At 42.0% G+C, this 23,338-nt stretch overlaps 1 long non-coding RNA gene and 1 pseudogene across 1 annotated transcript; both read right to left on the reverse strand.

Annotated features, from left to right (window-relative positions):
- Positions 1–1,380: 1,380 nt before the first annotated feature.
- Positions 1,381–13,092, reverse strand: LOC102723396 (uncharacterized). Its single transcript, XR_429682.3, has 3 exons — positions 13,012–13,092; positions 5,475–5,528; positions 1,381–1,490 (listed from the first exon to the last, which is right to left on the reverse strand). It is a non-coding gene; the product is annotated as an uncharacterized LOC102723396 (long non-coding RNA).
- On the reverse strand, positions 19,392–19,879 carry SNRPEP3 (SNRPE pseudogene 3; annotated as a pseudogene).

Here is a 23,338-nt window from a genome sequence, read left to right on the forward strand (position 1 = left end):
CTTGAGAGTCCAGGGCCATAAGGTCCAGGCTTGATCTGAATCCTTCAGCCTCAACCTCCAGTAGGCCCCTCATGTCATCGGACCAGCAATTGGCCCTCAACAACGTGTGGTAGGAGGGACCCAGTGGGAAGTAATTGAATTATGAGGGCGGTTATCCCCATGTTGTTATCATAACAGTGAGTGAGTTCTCATGAGATCTGAAGATTTTATAAGGGCTTTTTCCTTTTTGGTCGGCACTTCTCCTTCCTGCCACTCTGTGAAGAAGGTGGCTTTCTTCTCCTTTGCCTTCCGCCGTGATTGTAAGTTTCCTGGGGCCTTTGAAGCCATGTGGAACTGCAAGTCAACTAAACATCTTTTTTTTTTTTAATAAATTACCCAGTCTTGAGTATTTCTTCATAGCAGTATGAGAATAGAATAAAACACATATAAAATAAAAAATGAGAGTTACAGAGTTCTATCCCTCATAGGCTAGTTGGGAAGTATGTAAAGAGCTGAGAATCACACCTGGCTGTAGTAAGTGCTATGTAAGGATTTGCTGTTGTTACAGGCATGGATAATAAGTCCTGTGGCTTGGCTTATTGTAATTTTTTAAAGGGCAAGAACCATTTCTATCATGCCTAGCTGAGAATCCCCAGCATCTAGCATGATACCTGGCATTCAGTAGGTGCCTGGTAAATGTTTGTTGAATGACTGAATAGTAGTTTAGGAAAGATGGGAGATTACTGTGGGACACGACAGATTATTTGGGAACCCTACACTCAATGTCAAAAACATTCTGCAGCTATTTGGCAAACCTTATTAAGAACCACCTGAGAGCTGGATGTTGTGTGACCCACTACAGACAGAATGGAAAACCAAGTCTGTCACCAACGTAGATATGATGAAAATGATTATAATTTATCAAAACACCCAATGTTTGTCGAGCACTTAACAGGTGCCTGGCACTGTGTTGAAAACCTTACATGCACTAATTCATTTAATTTTATTTACGACTCAACCTATGAGACAAAACCACTAGCACAATACAATAATAGCAATGAAAAAGCTATTTTTTAAAACAGAGCAAAATGTCAACAAGTGCAAATGAGTCCTCTGACAATTAAGTCCATATGGGAGGTGGGGATGATGAGAACAGTTAGGTGAGGACAATCATGGACTTCTGATGAAACATCTGTATTTGTGATCCGGCCAGCCTGTTAATCATCTGGATATTTGCAGCCTGAGCTGTCGGTTGCTTTCGGTTTGCATTTTTCTTTTCTCATCCTTTAAAATTCACTTTCTACTCTGTTGTAGGACAGATCTTATCCCGCATGCTACCTTTTCTTGGCAATACAGGGGGATGGCAAAGAGAATGTTTGCAGATGCCTCAGCAAACCAGGTCCCTGGTCCCTGAGAGTAGGTGCTCTTGTCTGTGTCTTCAGGGCAGTGCTCACAGCTGGTTAATTGGATCCAGGACAGGGTTATGGAGGCAGGCGTCAAAGCACAATGACCTAAATCAAACCCAAGATTAATTAAAAAGTGTCCAAGTGGATTGAATATTTCATGACCTGAAGGCTGAAGTCAGGTCTCTTTGGGATAGAAATCAGACGAGAATGTGTGGTGGGGGTAGGGGTGGATTGGAAATAGAAGAAAAGTAAGGGTGGAGGAGGAGGGAGAAGAATGGGTGGAGGAGGAGGAGAGAGGAGGGAGAGAAAGGGCAGGCAGGAGGGAGGAAGGGAAGAATGACAATGAATATATGACTTCACGGAAATCAAACTAACTTCTCACCTTCATCATTAGATGTTCTCAGAGGGTGATGTACCTTTCATGGGGTTATTTTGAAAAGCTGATCTTTTCAATTATTCCGTGAGGGTAGGTAGAGTTCATTGCTGGTTCACAACTTCCCACACAAGGACCCTGGAGCCCAGAAAGGAACAACCTCCCCCAGCCCCCGAAGCTTGCTGGGATTCAGACGCAAACCCCAGTCTTCCACTTCATTGCAGAATTGGCAGGGAGCCAGGAGACACAGGACATTTCCCACCTTCCGAGCAACAGGTTCCCAGAATCTCAGGAGGCATTTCTTCCAGAAAGACATTTTTTTTTTTCCTGTTCCATTTCTCTACCAAGGAATTAGTTGGAAACGTGTGGATTTCCTTGGGAGACTGGGAAATTCTCTAGTCCCCCGAGTCTATCCTTGGGCTTCAGCTATATTATCTCCTGTTTCCGTGTCCCTGTGTCCATATGGATGGGTCTGATCACTGCTGTGTCCATCTGTCTTTCTGGGTATCTGTCATGTGTGGCCTTGTTCTTTGCCTATCTCAATACCTACTGTCAGCCCACCCCTCTCTCTGTCATTTCCCTCTGTATTTTCCCATCTCTCTGGCAGGTCTGCTCTGTTCATGGCCCACCCATGTTCACCACCTCTTTGCTTTTCTTTCTCACTGACTTCCCTCTCTCTTCTCCTCCTCTATCCTTATTTGCTGAAGTTCATGCACATTTTAAGCATCTTTGTGCCTTTCTTTGCCCTTCTCCTTCCTCTGACTTTTCTCCCCTCCCTTCTCCTGCTCCTGCCTCTTTCCTCTTTCCTTTCTCTCTTTCCTATTCCATTATGGATGTTTTGTTGGTGGCTCCAGTCAATTCCAATTGATAAGTATCTCTAGATTCCCTGCTGTAAGCCAGCAGGTGAGCTGAGGGCCCCCTGGGAATACAGACCCAGCGGGTCACTCTCTGCAAGTGGCTCTTAGTCAGGTTTTAGCAACTTGATATAAACTTTTATTTTCCAATCAGCTTCAACTTGCAGGTGGCCTTGAGTGTGGCCACTGCCAGAAGGAATGGTAGGGATCACTGAGCCACAAAGTGAGAGGGGAGGCAGACAGCTGGTTGCCTCCATGGGCAGAGTGGTGCAGATGACTGTACTCGGCAGGTAGTGCTACAAAGAGGGTGGCACCTGCTCTTACCCCCCTGGGAAGTGGCCCTTAGCTGTTTAGTGGCTCTGCCATTCACCCTCATGGGTACAGTCCCACCACCTGTCTGTCCTTTCCAGGCTCTTTTCAGGGACTGCTCCGTTACATAATCAGTGTGCTCTGGAAGCCATAATTCCACAATTGGTGACCTCTCCAATGAAACACAAGACTGAGAAAGCCTCACGGCTCTAATTATTTTGCCAACACTTTCTTCTGCATATCAATTTCCCTCCCCTGCACAATTCATATTCTATACATCTGGATGGCAAGGAGGATGCCTGGGGAAATTACATGGCTTTGCACATGAGATTTGTTAGAAGTTGGAAGAGAGACTATCTTATTTCACTTGATAATCTCTTATTTATGGGTTTGTTCTTTTCTTAATGTTAACGAGACTTACTATCTCCGTCTTGCTGTGACAGCTTTATCAACATCTCTGTGGCTGCGTTTCCATCTAGGTGGTGGAACTGTGTTCTAATTGCATTGGCATAAATAACAGGAAAACCCACTGATTGGGAATGTCTGCAAGCCCAAAGGCCTGGATTTTACACAATCTGCCTTTTCTTGTGGGCAGTGAATTTGCTAGATAGTCTAAGATCTAGAGCCTACCATTCTGTCCACTGCTGACAAGGTGGGACTTTATCAAACTCTTTTAATTTCTCTGGGTTCAGATTCTCTAGGTAATAGCTCCTTCTTTTGAGGCAGCAGGTGCTGTCGGAGAGGTACAGGTTATGGAGTCACAATGACCTTGTTGGCTTCCTGGCTTTGTGGATTAATTGCTATGAACTTCCTCATCAGTAGGAGAAAACAAAATTTTTTAAAGAGCAATAGCATTTTTTAAGTCCTTGCAAATGCTCTATGTGTAGCATTTCATTAATTCTCATAAACACAAACATAGCTTTATTTTCTTAATAAATCTCAGAAGGAGAAATGGATTCATGGACATATACTCATGTGTTCACTTTAATTCAGTAACGCATACTTTTGAAATATTTTATGATTGCATATTATAGTTCACAGTTAATGGTTGAAAACTCAAGCTGGGAAGGACTATGAAATTTATCCTAAGTTGTGTCCGTGAAGGTAAAGAGCCAGACAGGGCTACTATAAAGGGCCATACATGTTGTGCACTTCTCAACTCCCAGGAGGATTCTTAACCTAAGACAGGGCTCAGCAAACTACAGCCCATGGGACAAATCCAACCTGCTTCTTTCCTTTTTTTTTTTTTTTTTTTTTTTTTTTGAGACGGAGTCTTGCTCTGTCACCCAGGCTGGAGTGCAGTGCCATGATCTCTGCTCACTACAACCTCCGCCTCCCGAATTCAAATGATTCTCCTGCCTCAGTCTCCTGAGTAGCTGGGACTACAGGCGTGTGCCACCATGCCCAACTAATTTTTTGTATTTTTAGTAGAGACGAGGTCTCACCGTGTTAGCCAGGATGGTCTTGATCTCCTGACCTCGTGATCCCTCCGCCTCGGCCTCCCAAAGTGCTGGGATTACAGGCCTGAGCCACTGCACTCAGCCCCAGCCTGTTTCTGTAATAAGGTTTTATTGGAACAACTTCATTCATTACTTTTTTGTCTATGGTTGCTTTTATGCAGCAGAGTTGAGTAGTTGCAACAGAGATAGTATAGCCCACAAAGATGGAAATATTGACCATCTAGCTCTTTCCAGAAAAAAAGTTCGCTACTCCTGATCTAGACGACAGTTTGAACTCTCTTAAGTTGTTCAACATGGCAGCCGTGGAGCCATGAATTGAATATGTACCTAGTTGAGCTCTGAGTGACTGACTGATTTCTACCCTACAGGTTAGCTATGAGAATTAATGAGATAGGAATCTCTTTCACAAATGTTTACACATGGGACCAAAGATACAGGGACAAGAATGGTCATTGCAGCATTATTTCTACTGGGAAAAATCTAGAAAGAATCCAAAAGTCCATCTCTAATGGATATGACTAAATAAACGAGGCTACAGTTATACAATGACAGATCATGTAGCTGTTAAAATGAATGAGGCAGACCCAAGTGTGCTGAAAGCTGTCTGTAGCAATCCACACAATCATACGTCTATATAATAATGTAAGCTCCATATCTACTGTATTTTGTTACTCTAAAATGCCACTTATTGCAGGATGCACCATTATTTTATATGTCTATAAGAAGAAGAAAGTGGACGGTTTATAATGCCTTTAACTGTAAAATGCAGCGTTATTTCGAGATTTTAAATTTTTAAAAAGTTGCATCCTAGAATAGGTGAAAACATAGTTTGCTAGCATATTAATTTAAGAATATGTGTATTTCTGACAATGTTCAGAAAATATATATCAGTATGGATATATATTAAAGAATATAGAGATTGTTGCCAAGGAACAAGCGGAACTGGGCTTAGGGATGAAGGGGAGCTTTCACTTTTTAATTTTTGTGCCTCTGAATTGTTTGAAAATTTTGCGGGGGGCATGTATTACTTATATAATTTTTAAAACATTTTTAAAATAAAAATTACTTAGATAATAACTATGACATGACTTACCGAGTACCTGGCACACAATTAGAGGATATCTAGTTTCATTCTCTTCTAGCCTCTCTGCTTGGCCACCAAGAAGTCATTAAAAGAAGAGAGACAAAAATATTGGGAACATTTCCTAAACAAAAGGGGTATAACACATTTAAAGTGTCATTGGCTTCTTATTAAAGGTTTCTGTTTGGTCAACTTTTAAATTTTCCATTTTCTGTTTTTCCCCAGTGAAAATTCCTTCGTTAGTACAGACTGTAATGAACTCTACAAATACCATACTCTGTGAGAACGTTTTGGGTTCTAAGCTTCTTTTAACAGGGTATTGATCAGAATTTTTCCACGTGTCTTTACTGCATACAGAAAATGGAAACAAGTGACTTATTAGCCATAACCACAGGAAATGCTTTATTAATATTATTTCAATATGAAAGAAACATTTACACACGGTCACTTTTTTTCCCATATGCATTCTTCATACAGTGGAAGGAGAATGAGGACAGACCTGCTCAGAATAGCAAATAACCCCCAAGTCATCTGCAAAGTGAAAATTTAGCTTGGAAATTCCCCATGTTACAAACAGAATAGGAACATTTGCGCAAGTTGCATGCTTGCATTGCTTTTCCCTATTTTGAATCACAAATTGGTGATTTGCCATGACATCATACATTTAAAAAGACAAAAATTCTCACAGCTACCCTGCGTGGTAGGAAAATGCTGCTCAACTGGACTCATGTTCAAGTCCTGGCTCCCATGCTGCCATGTTGAACCACTCCAGGAAATTCAAACTCGTCTAGGTCAAGAGTCAGAAAACTTCTTTTATGTTTATACATGGAAAGGGGACATTTATATTAAAAGAATTGGGGCTATATATTTCAAAGCTGTAAGAGGCTTTGGGGACCATGTAGTCCAGCCCACTGCCCTGTGCAGGAATCCTGCATCACAATCTTCATGGCTGTGCTCAGCCTTGGCCTGCACATATATACGTCAGAGGACTCTCTGTTTAACCAAGCAATGAAAATGTAGAGCCATAATGTCCATAATAACAGTAAGCCTTGGGTGTCAGAGGAAAGGGATAGCTAATACCATCTGTACTTCCTGGAAATGGCTGACACTGTTGGCTGCTCCATCAGTTACAAGGGCTTTTAGCTGCACGTAATGTAATACTTAAATAATAATGACTAAATAAGAAAAAGAGTTATCTAATGTAACTAAAAAATATAGCATAAAACAATCCCAGGGCTACTTCAGTGGCTCAAGGATGTAATTAAGGAGTCAGGTTTGTTTCATCTTCTTACTCCACCTTATCAGCTTGTTGGTCTTTCATACTTAGGAAGAGAGACAGCATGCTCTTATGTCACTATCCTTTTAACAAGAAGGAAAAGCCCCCAGAGAACTTCCCCTTACATGCAAAGGTCTAGAAATCGATCACGTGGCAACCCCTAGCTGCAAGGGAAGCTGGAAAGTGAATATCTCGCTTGTTTAGTCTCCATAGTGGAAAACAGGAAAAGGTGAAGGCGTATTGAAAATGACTCCAACTGTGCCAGCAGTTCCTATTAATTCCTCACTTCTTTCTTTATAACAGAACTTTTTTGTTGTTGTTGTTTAAGAATGTGATTCAGGGTAGGATGAATCATTTCCAGTCCCAAGGGATGAATTATGATTGGACTAAGAAATTTAATTCCTCTTGACAGCTTGGGAATGGGGTGCAGTTCTGGTCAATGAGATATCAGATGTCTCTCAGAAGTCTGGAGAGTTTCTGAGTGACTTATCCTCTATCTTAGGAAGGATGCCCACTTCTTCTTTTTCAGAATTTGAACAATTTTGTTTGAAGTTCTGACGCTTGGAGTTACTATTGCCTTGTTCAACTTTGAAAGGATAAATGTGAAGGAAAACTGGAAAGATAAAAACAGCGCATATCCATCTGAACTCTGGAATTTCCTACCTCTGTACCTTTTGTTATGCATTACTATTATCTTTGGTTTACAAAAAAAAAAAAAGCAGATCCTGAGGCAAAGAACAAATAATCCCCTTGTTAAAGGGTGCAATATTAGGGAACATATATGACAGACAGAGAGAATGAAGCAGGGAAGGCGGAAAGAGCCAGTATGAGAAAACATTATTAAGTTTACTGTTCCTTAGTGTGACTGTCCTCCAAGAATGGATATAAACTGAATCTTGGGTCAGTGCATTATAGGAGAAAGGAGGATGATTTATCCATTAACTTCCATCTCCCATTAAGCAAAGATTTGCCTATGGTTTGTTAATTGCCTAAATTTCTGGGTTTTCCATGGATGGGTAGCAACTCAGTTCCCATACTGTCCAACAGCTTGGTGTTACCAGGGAAACCCTGGGAGGGAGATGAGAAACATGTGATGCGGGTGGAGCGATAAATTGAGGTACAGTCAGATTATGCCTAATTCTGATGGAATCTCAGTGGTGGCTAGAATGAGTTGGATGATACAGTGTCTGATACAGTCTACCCATTGCATCACCAGATCCTCTCTTTACCTCTACTTTGGAAAACAAGATGCCCTTATTTCTTCCTTGAGAAGAAGAGTACAAGTCTGATCCAATTACAGAGTCCCTATCAAGATGGTCATTGGCAAAACTCTCTGAGATGACTCAAGGCAAGAAGCCTAGTGAAACAAACTGAACTAGGTTAGGAGCTCATAATTCGTATCCATCCTCTTCAACCTCTGCTACTATGCTAGGTTTCTGTCATACCGACCAGCACTTGAGCATGTCTGGCTGAATGCAGGGAACCTGGAATTTCATGCCTGAGAAGACTGAGCCCTTGTTACCTTGCCCTTGTTGGGGCCACAGTTCCTGAAACTAATAGATTTCTGTGCTCACAGGGCATGGAAACACCAAAAGATTCCCCAGTGAATTCTTCCTGCCCCAGCTTTGCAGTGGCATCCGTAGTCTTTTATGTACTCAGAATCGACTAACCTCATCAGTGCTGTAACTAACTCCTTTCCTTGGCTGCTGATCCAGCGGCATGAAGAAGCTAACACACTGAGAAGATCAGAAGTGGCACATAAGAAATATCTAATTATATATATATAAAACAGATGTTGGCAAGGCTACGCAGAAAAGAGAACACTTATATACTGTTGGTGGGAATGCAAATGAGTTCAGCCACTTCAGCAATTAGAAGATTTCTCAAAGAACTTACAACAGAATTACCATTCTACTCAGCAATCCCATTAGTGGGCGTGTATCCAAAGGAAAATAAATTGTTCTACCAAAGAGATACATGCATGTGTATATTCATCACAGCACTATTCACAATAGCAAAGACATGGAATCAACCTATGTGCCCATTAATGTTGGACTGGATAAAGAAAATGTGGTACCTTTATACCATGGAATATTATGCAGCCATAAAAAGGAATGAAATCATGTCCTTTGCAGCAACATGGATGCAGCTGGAGGCCATCGTCCTAAGCAAATTAATGCAGAGGCAGAAAACAAAATATGGCATGTTCTCACTTATAAGTAGAAGGTAAGCATTGGATGCTCCTGGACATAAAGATGGCAACAATAGACACTGGGGGAAGGGCGGGAGGGGACAAGGGCTGAAACACTACCTATTGGGTACTATGCTCAGTATCTGAGTGATGGGACCACTCATACCCCAAACCTCTGCACTGTGTAATGTACCCATGTAACCAACCTGCACGTGTATCCCCTGAATCTAAAATAAAAAATTGAAATTATAAAAAGTTTCTATTACAATAGAAAATACCTATTTTTATGCCATTTTGAGTTGGATTTTATTTTTACTAGCAATCTAAAGCATCCTCACTAATATGTCAGAAGAAGTAACTGCTAAGGCTAAGATCTGACAGACTAGCAGAAATTAAAATGGACAAAGATGATGGGCAAGCGTGTTTCAGGCAAAAGGAAAAACATGTACAAAAGTCTGTAAGAGAATAAAAATGTGAAGCATTTGGGGAATTTAAAATGGTTCAGAATGGCCAAAATTAAGACTATTAAAAAAATTTCTTGTTAAGGCTTTCTATAAAATGCTGCAAACGTGCACAGGAGAGGTTAGTGCCTTTGAGAAACCATCATTAAAAGAAACATTGTGTCACTCAAAGAATGGCTGGAGTTGCCTTGCCTTTGAAGAATGAAATAACATCTGCTTATATCCCCAACTGTATCTCATGCTATTGAACTAAGACTTCCTCACGATTTTCTTAAATCCTATGGTGGCTTATGTTCATATCTACAGCTCTCATTTCCATTACTGTTAAGTGTATTTGTCTCTTGTTTTCTGTGATGTGCTCTTCTCTCTTCTCTCCATCATTCAAAACATCCAACAGCCTGGCATGGTGGCTCATGCTTATAATCCCAGCACCTTGGGAGGCCGAGGTGGGCGGATCACTTGAGGCCAGGAGCTTTAGACAGCCTGGCCAACATGGCGAAACCTGTTCTCTACTAAAAATACAAAAATTTACTGGACATGGTGGTGCACACCTGTAGTCCCAGCTCCTTGGGAGGCTGAGGCATGAGAATCGCTTGAACCTGGGACGCGGAGGTTGCAGTGAACTGAGATTGTGCCACTGCACTCCAGCCTGGGTGACAGAGTGAGACTCTGTCTCCAAAAAGAAAAAAAAAAAAAGAAGCAACAAAGCTACTTTATCTTGTCTCTCCAAATGCCAGTCAGCCAAGTCAAGGTCTATTGAATATATTTATTTTTGTGGGTAGAGGTAATAAAAGAGGTTAAATTGTAGCACATACAATGGCTTCAGATGAACTAGTAGGTATTTTTATTCTAAGATTCTTCTGCCAGACCTGCCAGGATATGGGGATGAAAGGCATTGACTAACATTACTCCTCAAATTTCCTCACCTATAGTTATGATATTATCCCTCACCTCCAAGAATCTCCACACATCCTCACTACCTCACTTACCAAGCAGCTTCCAAATTCTTCCTGCATTGTTATGCAGAGATATTCAGTTTTCCATCTATGTCTCCTGAGCCTTCCAAACATTCAGGATCATCCTTCCACAACCAAAATTGCTCCTCAAGGTGGCTTTGCTAAACAAATACATCCCACTTCCCTAAGAATCTCAACTTTTAATTTAAGAATTGTTTTCTCTACACTTCATTTGGGAAAGAAGGTGAGAAGTTTCTCAGAGGAGCTGGTTATCTTGAGCTATGTCTTGAAGATTAAGTTGCAGTTGACCAGACAGAGAGGTGAAGAGAGAATATTCTTGAACATAGACTTTGGTGCATGAGAGTGGTGAATATCCATCCCCTCTGTCTCACTCCTCCTCCCTCGGAACATCTTTTAACCTTCACCAAATCATTTGAACCAGTGGATGAAAGCAGGAACCCTGTGGACCTAGTCTGAAAGGTTACCAGCCCAGAGGCCACCAGCCACTGTCTCTAATAACACAGAGGAAAGTTCCTTCAAGCTGTGTATGTACCCACTCTAGGAGGTCAGTAAAGTGAGATGCATTGAACATTTCTTTTCACTTCTGGCCAGCCTCCTACAATGTAGAGGTTAAGTGTGCAGGCTTTGGAGCTAAGCTGTTTAAATATTTACTCACCCCATTTAGTCACCATGGGATCTTGGGCCAGTCACTAAACTCCTCTGTGCCTAGGTTTCCTAATCAGTAACATGTGGATAATGGCAACACATATGGTTGTTCTGAAGATTAAATAAGTCACATGTATGTCAACTGCTTAGAACCATGTTTGGCACAAGCTAAGCCCTTATTAAATACTAGCTCTTGATATAAATCCTTACCTAGGTTCATTGACAATGCTGGTGGCTCGTGGTATCTCATGTGTCACCCATGAAAATCAACTCTGGCTCAGGCCACTTCTTTTATGGCACAAGTTTTTATAATGGAACATGGTTTTGATGCCATCAATTCAGTTAATGGACATGGCTTACTTAACTCAAACATCGATTGCATACAATGGAAATAAAACTGGGAACAAAAATGTGGCTATGAGAAGAAAAGTTACCTCACACATTGCAGAGGAACACCCAGCTGCCTTAGGGAGCTGTTGTCTGGCTGCTAGGGACAAGTTTTTTTTTTTTTTTTTTGACATGGAGTCTCGCTCTGTCGCCCAGGCTGGAGTGCAGTGGCGCGATCTCTGCTCACTGCAAGCTCCGCCTCCCGGGTTCACGCCATTCTCCTGCCTCAGCCTCCCGAGTAGCTGGGACTACAGGCGCCCGCCACCACGCCTGGCTGATTTCTTTTTGTATTTTTAGTAGAGACGGGGTTTCACCTTGTTAGCCAGGATGGTCTCGATCTCCTGACCTTGTGATCCATCCGCCTCGGCCTCCCAAAGTGCTGGGATTACAGGCGAGAGCCACCGCACCCGGCCATGTTGTTTTGCTTCCCTTTGGTTGCCGCTAATTGTGCTGCTCAAGGAAGCTTCGACATATACTGATGCCTGGGTCTTACCTCCATGAATTCTGATGCAACTGGTTTGCACTGTAGCCTGGACTTTGGAATTTTTAAAAAAGTCTCCAGGTGATTCTAATTGCAGCCAAAGTTAAGAACCACTGTTTTTTCTTTTCTTTCTTTCTTTCTTTTTTTTATTTTTTTAATACCCACATCCAGATCACACTCCAAACAAATTAAATCAGAATCACTCTGGTTGAGGCCTGAGCATCAGCATGTTAAAGAGCTCTCCTGGAGATTTAATGTGCAGCCAGGGTTGACAGCCACCACTCTCAACGCTCGTTTATTTGGATCTAATCCTAAGTGCTGTTAAGGATTTGCTCAGTGAGGTCTAGGTTCATTTTTGTTAATTTTATAGCTTGCAATGACAAAATAAACACATATACTTTAAAAAAAGAAAACCTTGTGATTGAAATTTTTGCCAAAACCACTCACAATTTTGGCTTTGCAAATCTGATATTCTTCAGTTCCCTGAAATAATTTTATTTGTTTGTTTATTTTTTTGAGACAGGGTCTCACTCTGTCACCCAGGCTGGAGTGCAGTGGCACAATCTTGGCTCACTGCAACCTCTGCCTCCCCTGAAACTATTGTATGTAATTATAATGTGATTTTTAATAATGTGAGTTGTCTTAAGATCACAAAGCTCACGTTGGTAAGAGTGGACTGCTGTAATTTTTTTTTTCAGAACTTACTGTTTTCCTAGCAAAATTATTTCTGGAATTGCATTTGAAGAACCACTTTTCTTTAACTCTTTGCTTACATATTTTTGCTTGGCCAGGCCAGAGAAGGGAGGGTCCTGATTAGTTTAAGTCATTTAGCTTATCCTATCCTTATCCTATTCTTGTGGGTGTAGGGATTGGTTCTAAGATGAGTGCACGGACACTTTCTGGCCAATGAAAACTGAACTCAAGTTCAACTGTTGGGGAAGAGAAGCTTTTATCTCAGTGTGATGTGGAGCTGAGAAGGTGTGAGATCTGGGGCTGTTGAAAGACAACAGTCTGTGGGAGAGTGAAACTACACACACAGGAGGGCTGGAGAGTTGTTGTTTGTCCTATCTTGATGACTTGGAAAAATTCTGGAACCAACAAGGCCAGACAGCTCTCCAATTTTTCTCTTACCTGAGTCAATGAATTCTCCTTCTGTAAAAGCCATGTCAATTTGAACTGGAGCTTTTACTTAATTACTATGAAGAGTCTAACAGATAGAGCAGAACAGAGGAGAGTATTGAAATAGCACAGTTGAGCTTTTCAAAGTAATTTCTTTCCTACTTCTTCATGTGGTCCTTGCAGCAAAGAGTCAGTGTGGCAGAGCACTGGACAGTATGCTTCCTGAGGACAGGACATGAGGATGCTTTGGTCGATGTCTTCCTCACCTGGCAGGCACTCAGTTCATAACTGTTGAGAGGATGAGTGAACTCATTTTTATGATATGAATTCAGCCTTTCTCAGGACCTCCCCACCCCTTTATCTTAAATGATTCACAAGCCATTCCTTGAATCAATCTGCCGTTTCCTGCTATTTCTGAGCTTTTGCCTGAGTTATTCCTTCCACCTAGAATGCTTTCTCTGCTTCCTCTGCCTCCCATATTCTCATCCATCCTTAAAACCCAGGATAAATGCATCTCCTTTATGAAGCTTACTTTGATTTCCACCGGTCTGATAGAATGGCTTTTCTCCCTCTCTAAACTCCTGTGGGGAAGGAGATAAAGACTCAGACAGACCTGGGTTGGAATCTCTCCGTTGTGTCACGTCCAGGCTGTGTGACCTTGGGCAAGTCATTTAACTACTCTAAGCCCAACTATATAATGTTGGGATAAAAAATACTCCCAACTTCTTATGCATATTGTGGAGAACAGATGAAATACAGAGTACAAATTTTCTGTGGGTCGTAGCACAAAGAAGATAGCAATTCTTAGAGGTACTACTGTTACCCCTGTTTCACAGGCGAGGCATTCTGTGATTAAATAACCCATGCCTAAGGTCAAAGGACTCTTCATTCACTTGTTCCTTCACAAGTCAATATTTATCGAGCCCCTACTATGTGCCAAGCACTGTGGGTGCTAGGAGACAGTGGTGAACAAGACAGATGAAATTCCTGCACTCATATTCATGAAGGAAAGTGGTTCTGACGTAAAGAGATAAGAGATATGTGTGATGAATGTTACACGGGGGAAGTTTAGGGTATTATGGGGAGGGAATATCAAGATGTTGGAACTTGGCCATAAGACTTCCCTGAGTTATGATAATTAAATTGATATGAGAAGAACATAAGCCTTCTTCACCCTGTCACATAGAAGTCAGGTTTGGCCAGGTGTGGTGGCTCATGCCTGTAATCCCAGAATTTTGGGAGGCTGAGGCAGAAGGATTGCTTGTGCCCAGGCGTTTGAGACCAGCCTGGGCAACATAGCGAGACCCCTGTCTCTACAAAAATAAAAATAAAAATGTCAGCCTAGAGGGGTGGTACACGTGTGTTGTCTTAGCTACCAGGGATGCCAAGGTGGGAGGTTCACTTGAGCCCAGAAATTTGAGGCTGCAGTGAGCTAGAATCACCCCACTGCACTCTAGCATGGAGACATCTGGGGCTTCTGGCTTGGGCAGCCTGGCACCCTCTTTGCAGATCTCCAGGGGCATGTAGCCCCCTTCCCATCAAGCTGGGGACTGGGGGAAGAGGATGATTTTCTTCATGACTCTGGCTGGTCTATCCTAGCCCTCCTTATTAGTGCCGCCAGTCATTCTATCATTCTCCTTCACGTGTCTCTCCTCTCCAGCCAGACTTCCGATGATATTTCATTGTTCTCTGAAATTACCTCCATGAAATTTTAAATAAAAATGAGAAATGGGCTCTTACAGCTTCTACAATGGCTCCATGCAATTTTTCCTTCCCCCCGCCCCGGCCCACAATCAACAAAGTAAACACAGCCCCTGCTCACGGACCAGTTTTCCCTAGAGGCTTTTGATAGAGGATGCGAGATGGAGGCTTGCACACAGGCAGCACACAGACTGTCGGCAGACAGCAGTTAAAACTCTGGGAATTTCACATTAAAATCCATATTTCTGACTTCTGAAAAAAGATCAGAAATGGCAGCACCATCCCCTCATCTTCTCACAGCAATATTTGGCTTTAGCTGAGGGGCAGCTGTCTCCTGTAGATGAGGAATGCAACCTGCCATTCACCACAGACCCCACTTCTCCCTATTGATCCCCAGCCCAGTCTGCTTAAGTCATTTTCCAAGTTTGCTTGGTCTCTGAAGGCACTCAAGCTTGCACTGAATTTTAATTTGGATTTAAAGTGGATCTGGCACATTGTAAGTGGTGGATTGAGTAGCTATTATTAATAGTAGTAATGGTAATAATATTCAAAGAGTACAGTTCCAAGGCTGGATAAACAGGATATAGGACTTTCTTGCATAGCAGTCACATAAGAATACTGATAACCAAGCATTCATAACAACACCCTCCCTCCTTTCTAATCAGCACTCCTACATTAGAACGTTTCTTAGTAAATTGCACAAAATTCCTATCCATAATAGAAACAGTGCATGTTGCAGCTAGGTGATTATTATTATTTACTATCACCCGTAATTATACATAATTTCAATAATTGCCCAAACACAGACTACATGAATAAATATTCCTTAGGAAAACACAAATTAATGAAAAGAGAATCCAAGCTGGCAGTGAGATCTGTAGGATCCTGAGGGCACTTTCTCTTTTAAGTGAGGCCGAAGTGACAAGCACAGAGGGGATCACCGGGAACACGGGCTTGCCAGGCATTTGGATCTTCTTGGGAATGGATTCAGGACAGTGAGTATCTCTGGCTCAGTCTGTAACAATTTCTTTCTCCATCAATGACAAAGAATAATAGTTTAGCTGACCTGAATTTGCATTCTACTAAACTGGTGAGTGTCCTTCTGTTCCAGTGATCTTTCTTTCTCTCCTTTCTTCATTCAACAGTGATTGAGTAGCTGTCATGTACTGTGGACATTGTCCTGGGTGCTAGTGATACTGCAGGGTGCAAGACAGCCACGGAAACTGACTCGTTGGAGTTTATAGCATAGCATCCTTCTCCTCTTGGCTCTTGGAGTATGCGATCCAGTCTGTTATTCCACAAGTACTTGCTGATCACCTACCCTATGCCAGTCAGGGATCCAGATGTTGAGTAGTCTGCAGTAATCAAGCCAGATAAAGTCTTCCTCTCTTGGAGTTCACATATTAGAGGGAGAAGACTCATAAATACACAATTAAAGCAAGAGAATTACAGCCAGTGACAAGTGCTATGATGAAAACCTGGATTTGGGGCTGGGTGCTGTGGTTCATGCCTGTAATCTCAGCACTTTGGGAGGCCAAGGCAGGCGGATTACCTGACGTCAGGAGTTCGAGACTAGCCCGGCCAACATGGTGAAACCTTGTCTGTACTAAAAATACAAAAGTTAGCTGGGCGTGGTGGTGTGTGCCTATAATCCCAGCTACTCAGGAGACTGAGGCAGGAGAATCACTTGAAACTGGGAGGTGGAGGTTGCAGTGAGCCAAGATTGTGCCACTGCACTCCAGACTTGGTGACAGAGTGAGCGAGACTCCATCTCCAAAAAAAAAAAAAAAAAAAAAGAAAGAAAAGGAAAAAAAACCTGGGTTTGAATCCAAGCTTTGCCAGTGTCATATGTTCTTGAACATTTCACTGCTTTACATCTCAGAGTCTTAGTTTTCTCATCTGTAACGTGGGGGCAAAGACAGCACCTGCCTGTCAGGATCGAAGAAAGGAGTAAATGAAATATGGCATATAAAATACTTAGACAATGCCCAGCACATATTAGGCACTCAATAAATACGTATTTTTAAAAGAGCGAGAGATCTGCATCCTACTGGTGCTTCCAAGGTCAACTCAAGGCTTACCTCCTCCTTGAAGCGTTCAGTTGCCTCCCCCACCTCCTTCATGTCCTCCACCACACACAGTGCCTTCGCTCTTCTAGAACCAAGCTGAGTACTGCTGATTTATTTTACCTGCTAATTATCTGTCTCGCCAAACCTGACTAAGCTCCTTTAAGTCTTTTGCAACCCCACTCCCATGCACCTAACACCCTACTGAGCCCTTGGTAGGCGCTCAATACAGGTTTATTGATTGACAACATGTACCTGAGTTGACTTCCTTTGTCTTGATGCCTAGTCACCTTCTGTAGATAAGGTAAAGGGGAGATGTGTGTGTTGTGGTGTTGGGATCAAATTAGGAACCCCCTCACTCCTACAGGGAGGTTGGCACTCATGTGAGTAAGGCTATTAGGACTATAGTCCCCAGATTTACAAAGGCTGAATGCAGTAGATAACCCCCTCCTTTCTTGCATGAAGGAGAAATAAAGGATAATCGCAGGGCTTTCTTCAGCTCCATTTGTGTGTGTGAGGAGCGTTACACTGGCAGTAATTACAGAAGAAAAGGAAATGGAATAAGTGCCAAAGGATGAATTAGTTGTACTTGACCTAATTAAAATCTTGTAGAAAGAATTCTTCTCTTACTTGCAAAGGTGATCTAACATAACCTTGAAGCCATTGTATTAACCACTGTACTTTTCATTTTAACGGGAACAAATGGCAGAAAGATCACTTGGGAAAGGCAACATTTCACTCGCCTTTCAGAAATTAAATGACCCTGATTTCTGAACCACTTCCTCTCAATGAAATTAAATTGCATTGAACCCGGTCAGTTAACAAGGGGAAGTTAATCAAGCCAGAGGAGGAGTTCACCCAACTGATTCTCTGGCAGGAGGACTTTGGGAAGCTTCTGGAAAAGGAAAAACAAACAAACAGAGGAAAGAGGATTGGACCTTTGGTCGAAGTGTGCTGAATTTGATTTTTTGCTTTGTTTGAACACACACACATACACACAGAGGGGGACAGAGAGAGAGAGAGATGGAGAGAAACATAGTTGCTCCAGCGGTCTGGATATAACAACCACACCATGATAATGATCAATTGTGTATTTCTGATTGTACTAAGCCCTTTGTACGGGTTATCTCATTCATTCTTACATCTATTCATACAAGCTGCTATTATTCCCCCCATTTTGCATATAAGAAAATTGAGGCTCAGAGATGTCAAGTACTGGCTGACATCACATATCTTAACCAAATGACAGAGCTGGAGCCAGAATCCAGGTTGGCCAGATTCTGAAACCACTGTGGTATATTTTCAACCAAATTAGATGGGTGCTTGCCCACAGTCTCATTCATCACAATTCTGTGGATCTTTTGTTCCAACTAGGCTATGTCACTGATAGGACTGTTTTTCTCAAAATGCCAGTGGCCCTTTAATCAATGTGGGAGGTGCCTTTGTGGCATATAGGGTTATGGTTTCATAATGGTGAAACTTTTGTAACTTGCACTTAGTGGCTGTTCATCATGACTATTGTTCAGTATAAATTGGTAGGTGCATGAGAAATGCCATAGGTAAGGGCTTAACAGATAATGTGACTCTAGTCCTCATGGACTGATAATAGATTTTCCATCCAAATACGGGGAATGGAGCTACCAGTTGAGGTAGCTAAAGAGAGAAAAAGTATAGTGTAGTCATTATGTGTGCACACCTCGGGTTCTGATTGCCTCAGCAATCCTGGGATGTACCACTCTGTAGTTTTGCAACTTTGAGTAAATTATGTGAGATCTCTGTGACTCTATTTCTTCATCTTCAGAATGGAGAGGATTACAGTACCTACCGTGTAAGTGTGTTGTGAAGATTAAATGACAGAATTATACAATTAGCATACAGTAAGTGCCTAGTGAATGTTCGTTCTTAAGATTCAAAATTTGGTCCCTGGTCATCGAAAAACCTGAGCTTCTGGAAGAAGACAGAAGTGGTCAGTTCCCTGGAAGCTGGTTACCAAGAGAGACCTGTTCAGAGATGAACTGGGTTTGAACAGATGGAGGAAAAGGAAACTAACAGCTAGGAAATGGAAGTGTCCATAGGATTTGCTGTGTTCTCAGCAAATGTCTCAGGTAGGTGTCCAGGGACAGAACCCTTGCTAGGTAAACCTAGGTAAGACAGAGGGAGTGAATGCAACTCAGGAGAATCCCTCCATATTTTCATCCTTCAGTCCATTTATTCTTCTGTCTTTCTATTCTTCTATCCTTCCACCCTTCCATTCATCCATCCACCCATCCTTTCCTTCTAGAGTCTGCCATCCTTCTAGACTTCCACTCATGCTTCTATCCTGTGTTTCTGTCCCTTTTGTAATTTCATCTGTTCACCCATCCATACCTTGTAATCACCTATTCTTTTATCCTTGGTATATCTTAGTGGTGAAAAAGGTAGAATGTGGACATGGAAAGTCTGGGTTGAAATCCTATGTCATTTACTACCTGTGTGGCTTTGGGCAAATGTTTTAACCTCTTCAAACTCCAGTTTCCCCATTTATAAATTGAGACTGTCTCCTGAAGGCAAAGGAGAATCACTGGAGAGTTCTGAGCAAGGGAGTAACACAAGTGTATTTGTGCTTTTTTCCCCCCCAACTTTCATTTTTTTAATACAAATAATCCCATAGCATTTATTCCCTTCTTGTAATAACATAAGGGTAATCAAAACAATATGAATAAATGTTTATATTGGACAAAGGACATCTCAAAACAAACTGTATCCTTCTCAACAGTTTCTCACTTCGTTGATCATTTCTAGTTGGAGACACTTTGTAGCAGAGGAATATTATCTCCTTTTAGTATGATCCGACCCAGTTGTTTTCTTGACTTTGTTTTAGAATGAATCTCTTCTGCGTCATCTAATACAAGATTCATATACTTATCAAAACCAATGATACAGCCTTCTATCTACATATTCACTTGCTCATAGAGCCACACCTGAATCCATGATCTATTTTGTAAGTATCTGAAGATGAGGTTGATGGGCAGTACCATAACCCTCTGCACTCTCTGGTCCTGGCCATGGTACGCCATGGTGGAATTTTACAAAGAGCACAGCTACACGCTGCCTCTGAGAGCAACTTCTGGAATTATTTTTCCCCATTTTCTCTGTCTGCTGTGGAGAGGATAGAGTGAAAGGGGCAAGACCAACAAGAGGAAGGTCTGTTGGAAGGTGTTGCAAATAATTGAGGCAAAAGATGATGTGACACAACCAAGTCATGAGAGCTGTCACCTATCGTGTGCTTAGGAGGTGTCAGGCTCAGTGCTACATGCTTTGCCTGAGTCATTTCACTGAATCCTCCTAATGACCCTAAGAGTTAGATACTATTTTTTATTTCCATTTCACAGATGGGGAGAAGGATGCTTACAGAGTTTAACGAACTTGCTAGGATCATGTAACTGCTAAGTAACTGAGCTTGGAATCAGCCATAAATCATTTGACTCTGACATGCACCCTGCAGCTCTAGGCTGCTCCCTGTGCAAGGATGGTGAGGATGTCCTTGTGAGGTTGTGGAATAGGGACCACTTGCAAGAGGTGCTGCTGATATCAAAGGAGTAAGAGGACTTGACCCCAGCTGATTGTGGGAAGCATGAATGCTGGTAAGCTGACTCTCTGGGAGGGGATGGGAAATTGGGAAGCCTTGGTTTGTAGTGTTTTCCAATTTAGGTGGTATAAGTACTTCCCCCATGGCTGATTTCAAGTTTCTAGCATGATACAACCAAATGGGAGTTGGGAAGAGACAGCAGGAAGTACAGAAGAGCTAAGGATGACTTTGGAGTCTTCAGCTTGTGGCTGAGTACAGGTAGGCGTGGTTAACAGTTACAGGGACTTTCTAATTTCCCTTAGGTCAGACGCAGCTTTAAGAATTCCCTGAAAACTGGAAAACCGTTTCCCCAGAAAATTTCTTATTGTCACAAAATTCTGAAAACACTTCAAGGTTTTCATGGTTATACCAGAGCCCTTATGCTTCATAAAAAAAATCCTAGTGATATTTAAAAAATAAGTCAACAATAAGGATACATTTAGCTCACACGTCTGTGGCTTGGCTGGGGATTGGCTGATCAGGCTAGGCTAGTTGCAGGGGCACCACTCCAGGTGTGGGTCATTCTCTGCCTGGGATCAGCAGGCTAGCTCAAGCTTGGGCACACAGCAATGGCAGAAACACAAGATGGTAAATGGAAACATTCAAGGCCTCTTAAACCCAGCCCTTGACTTTGGGTTTGGACGTGTGACTTTTTTGGCTAATGGAATTAGGTGAAAGCAGCGTGGTACAGAAACACAAGATAGTAAGTGGAAACATTCAAGGCTTGTAGCTGGTACCATGCTGCTTCCACCTAATTCCACTAGCTAAAGGAAGTCACATGTTCAAATCTGATTGGAAGTCACATGTTCAAATCTGAAGTCAAAAGGTGGGGAAATCCATTCTGTCCTTTTAGTGAAAAGGACTGAAAGTCACATGGCAAAGAACATGGATGCAAGGAGGTGTGGGGGAAATTGAGGCCAGTGAAACAATCTTTCCCAGGGATGTCTGTCCAGGTGAGCAGAACATACCCTTTCCCTGAGGGAAATAGGCCTCAGGATTTTCAGCCCAAGCTTTGCCTTTAACCTTTACCCAACCTCTTTTGATCCTTTACCTTGGTGAGGACCTACAGGCTTGGGCCTCCTTCCTTTCCTCCTCTGCAATTGGGAAGACTGGCTTTGTCCCACCATTTAGAGACACAAGCATTACATCATCTCTCCTTTGCCACTTTGACAAGCCAAGCGACTTTCTCCCTACCAGTTTTTTGAGAAAGCAAGCAAACCCTTCAAAAAGGTGCTGCAAATGCAACTTTCCCTGATACATCTTAAAATTAGTGCCTTTTTTATTTTTACAAGTAGGTCTTGTTTATACCACACACATGACAACAACAAAAAAGAAAGATAATTAGACATATACACTGCAATCAAGCATAGTGGGTTCGTTGGAATCATTAAACTTAATTACTTTCACTTGTTATTCCTGGGGCCATAATATCAGTATTAAATGCCAATGGAATCTGCAGTATGTTTGATTTAGCTAAAACAAGGACTTGGTAATTTACTGCCTCTTTGAGAGATTTTTATCAAAGTGAGGAATACGCTGAGTACCTCCACTTGCTTCTCATGGGGACTGCTGCAAAACTCCTTTGCTGAGAGACTGGAGTGTTGTCTTTATGCAACCTGTCTCAGTGCTCTGAGAGAGGCTCTTCTTAAGATTCCTGCCTGTCTCCGGGCAGAATTAACCACAAGTGCTAACCACAGGCACTAAGCCCTTACATTGGGCATATCTTCCTTAATCCTCACAATTACCTCAGTTTTGCAGAAAAGGAAACTGAGGTCCCCAGAGGTTAAGTAACTTGCCTGAGGTCACACAGCATGTAAGAGGCAGGTCCAGGATCTTTGCCAAAGGAGAAGTTTTCTGAGTCCAGCATGGATGCTATCCCTCTGTTTGCAGTTCCCCAAATCTTGGTGTTAGCTTCTCCTTTCGACCTTTCTTTCATTTCTTTTTGATTAGTCTTATGAATGAACTCTCTCAACCTCAAATTCTGATAAAAGCCAAGATTTGTTAATGTTTTCATTGTGCCTGCCATTGTACTGGGGTTCTAAATAATTCATCTCACATAATCCTCCCAATAACCCTATGCTATAGCACATGTTCATTATATGTGGTTGTTATTATTACTATGATTACATATCGACATATCTATGTGTCATCCAGCCTGGGCAACAGAGCGAGACTCCAAGCCAAAAAAATATATATATATATACACATATATATGTGTGTGTGTGTGTGTGTGTGTGTGTGTGTGTGTGTGTGTGACTGATGTTAGCACCTGTGTTAGGCAGTTAGGAGTGTGTTCCTCTGCAGGTAAAAGCTGATCACAGCAGTTTCACCCAATCTTTATTTGCTTATTTATTTATTTATTTTCTTACATCATGTCAAATATAGAGTGGCAGCATGAGCTGTTATGGCTGTTCATGATGACATTATAAATGCAGCCTCCTTCCATTTTCAGCTCATTCATCTTTAGAGGTTGGCTTTTTTTTTTTTTTTTATGGTTGCAAAAAGGCTGCTTTACCTCCAGGCATTGCATGTGTCTTCAAGACAGGAAAAAGGAGAAAGGTGGAGGGCAGGAGGCAAACTCCTCTTCTGTACTATTATTTGTGCAAGGTCTCCCTCCCTGAAGTCTATTACCAACATCTGACTTTGTAGAAGTGCCTTGTGGCCACTCATTGCTCAAGGGAGTCTGGGAAGGACATTTTATTTCAGCTGCATACGTGAGTGCCATGAACAAAAAGAAGGCTCTTACGGTAAAGAAAGAGGAGAATGAATATGGCAGAAAGAACTAGCCTTGTCTGGGAGAGCATCTGCGGAGGACCACATCAACAAGCCTTGCTAATTGAAGGCAGGTCAAAGGATTTGAGGTATTTCCCCTTGAAAAGCTTCATTTCACTTTGTATTATTTCCTTTAACACCCACACAACCTTTTGAGGAAATTGGTCCACTTTCATTCTTAGGTGCTCTCAAA

The sequence above is a fragment of the Homo sapiens genome, chromosome 16 (assembly GCF_000001405.40).
Source record: "Homo sapiens chromosome 16, GRCh38.p14 Primary Assembly".
NCBI lineage: Eukaryota > Metazoa > Chordata > Mammalia > Primates > Hominidae > Homo > Homo sapiens.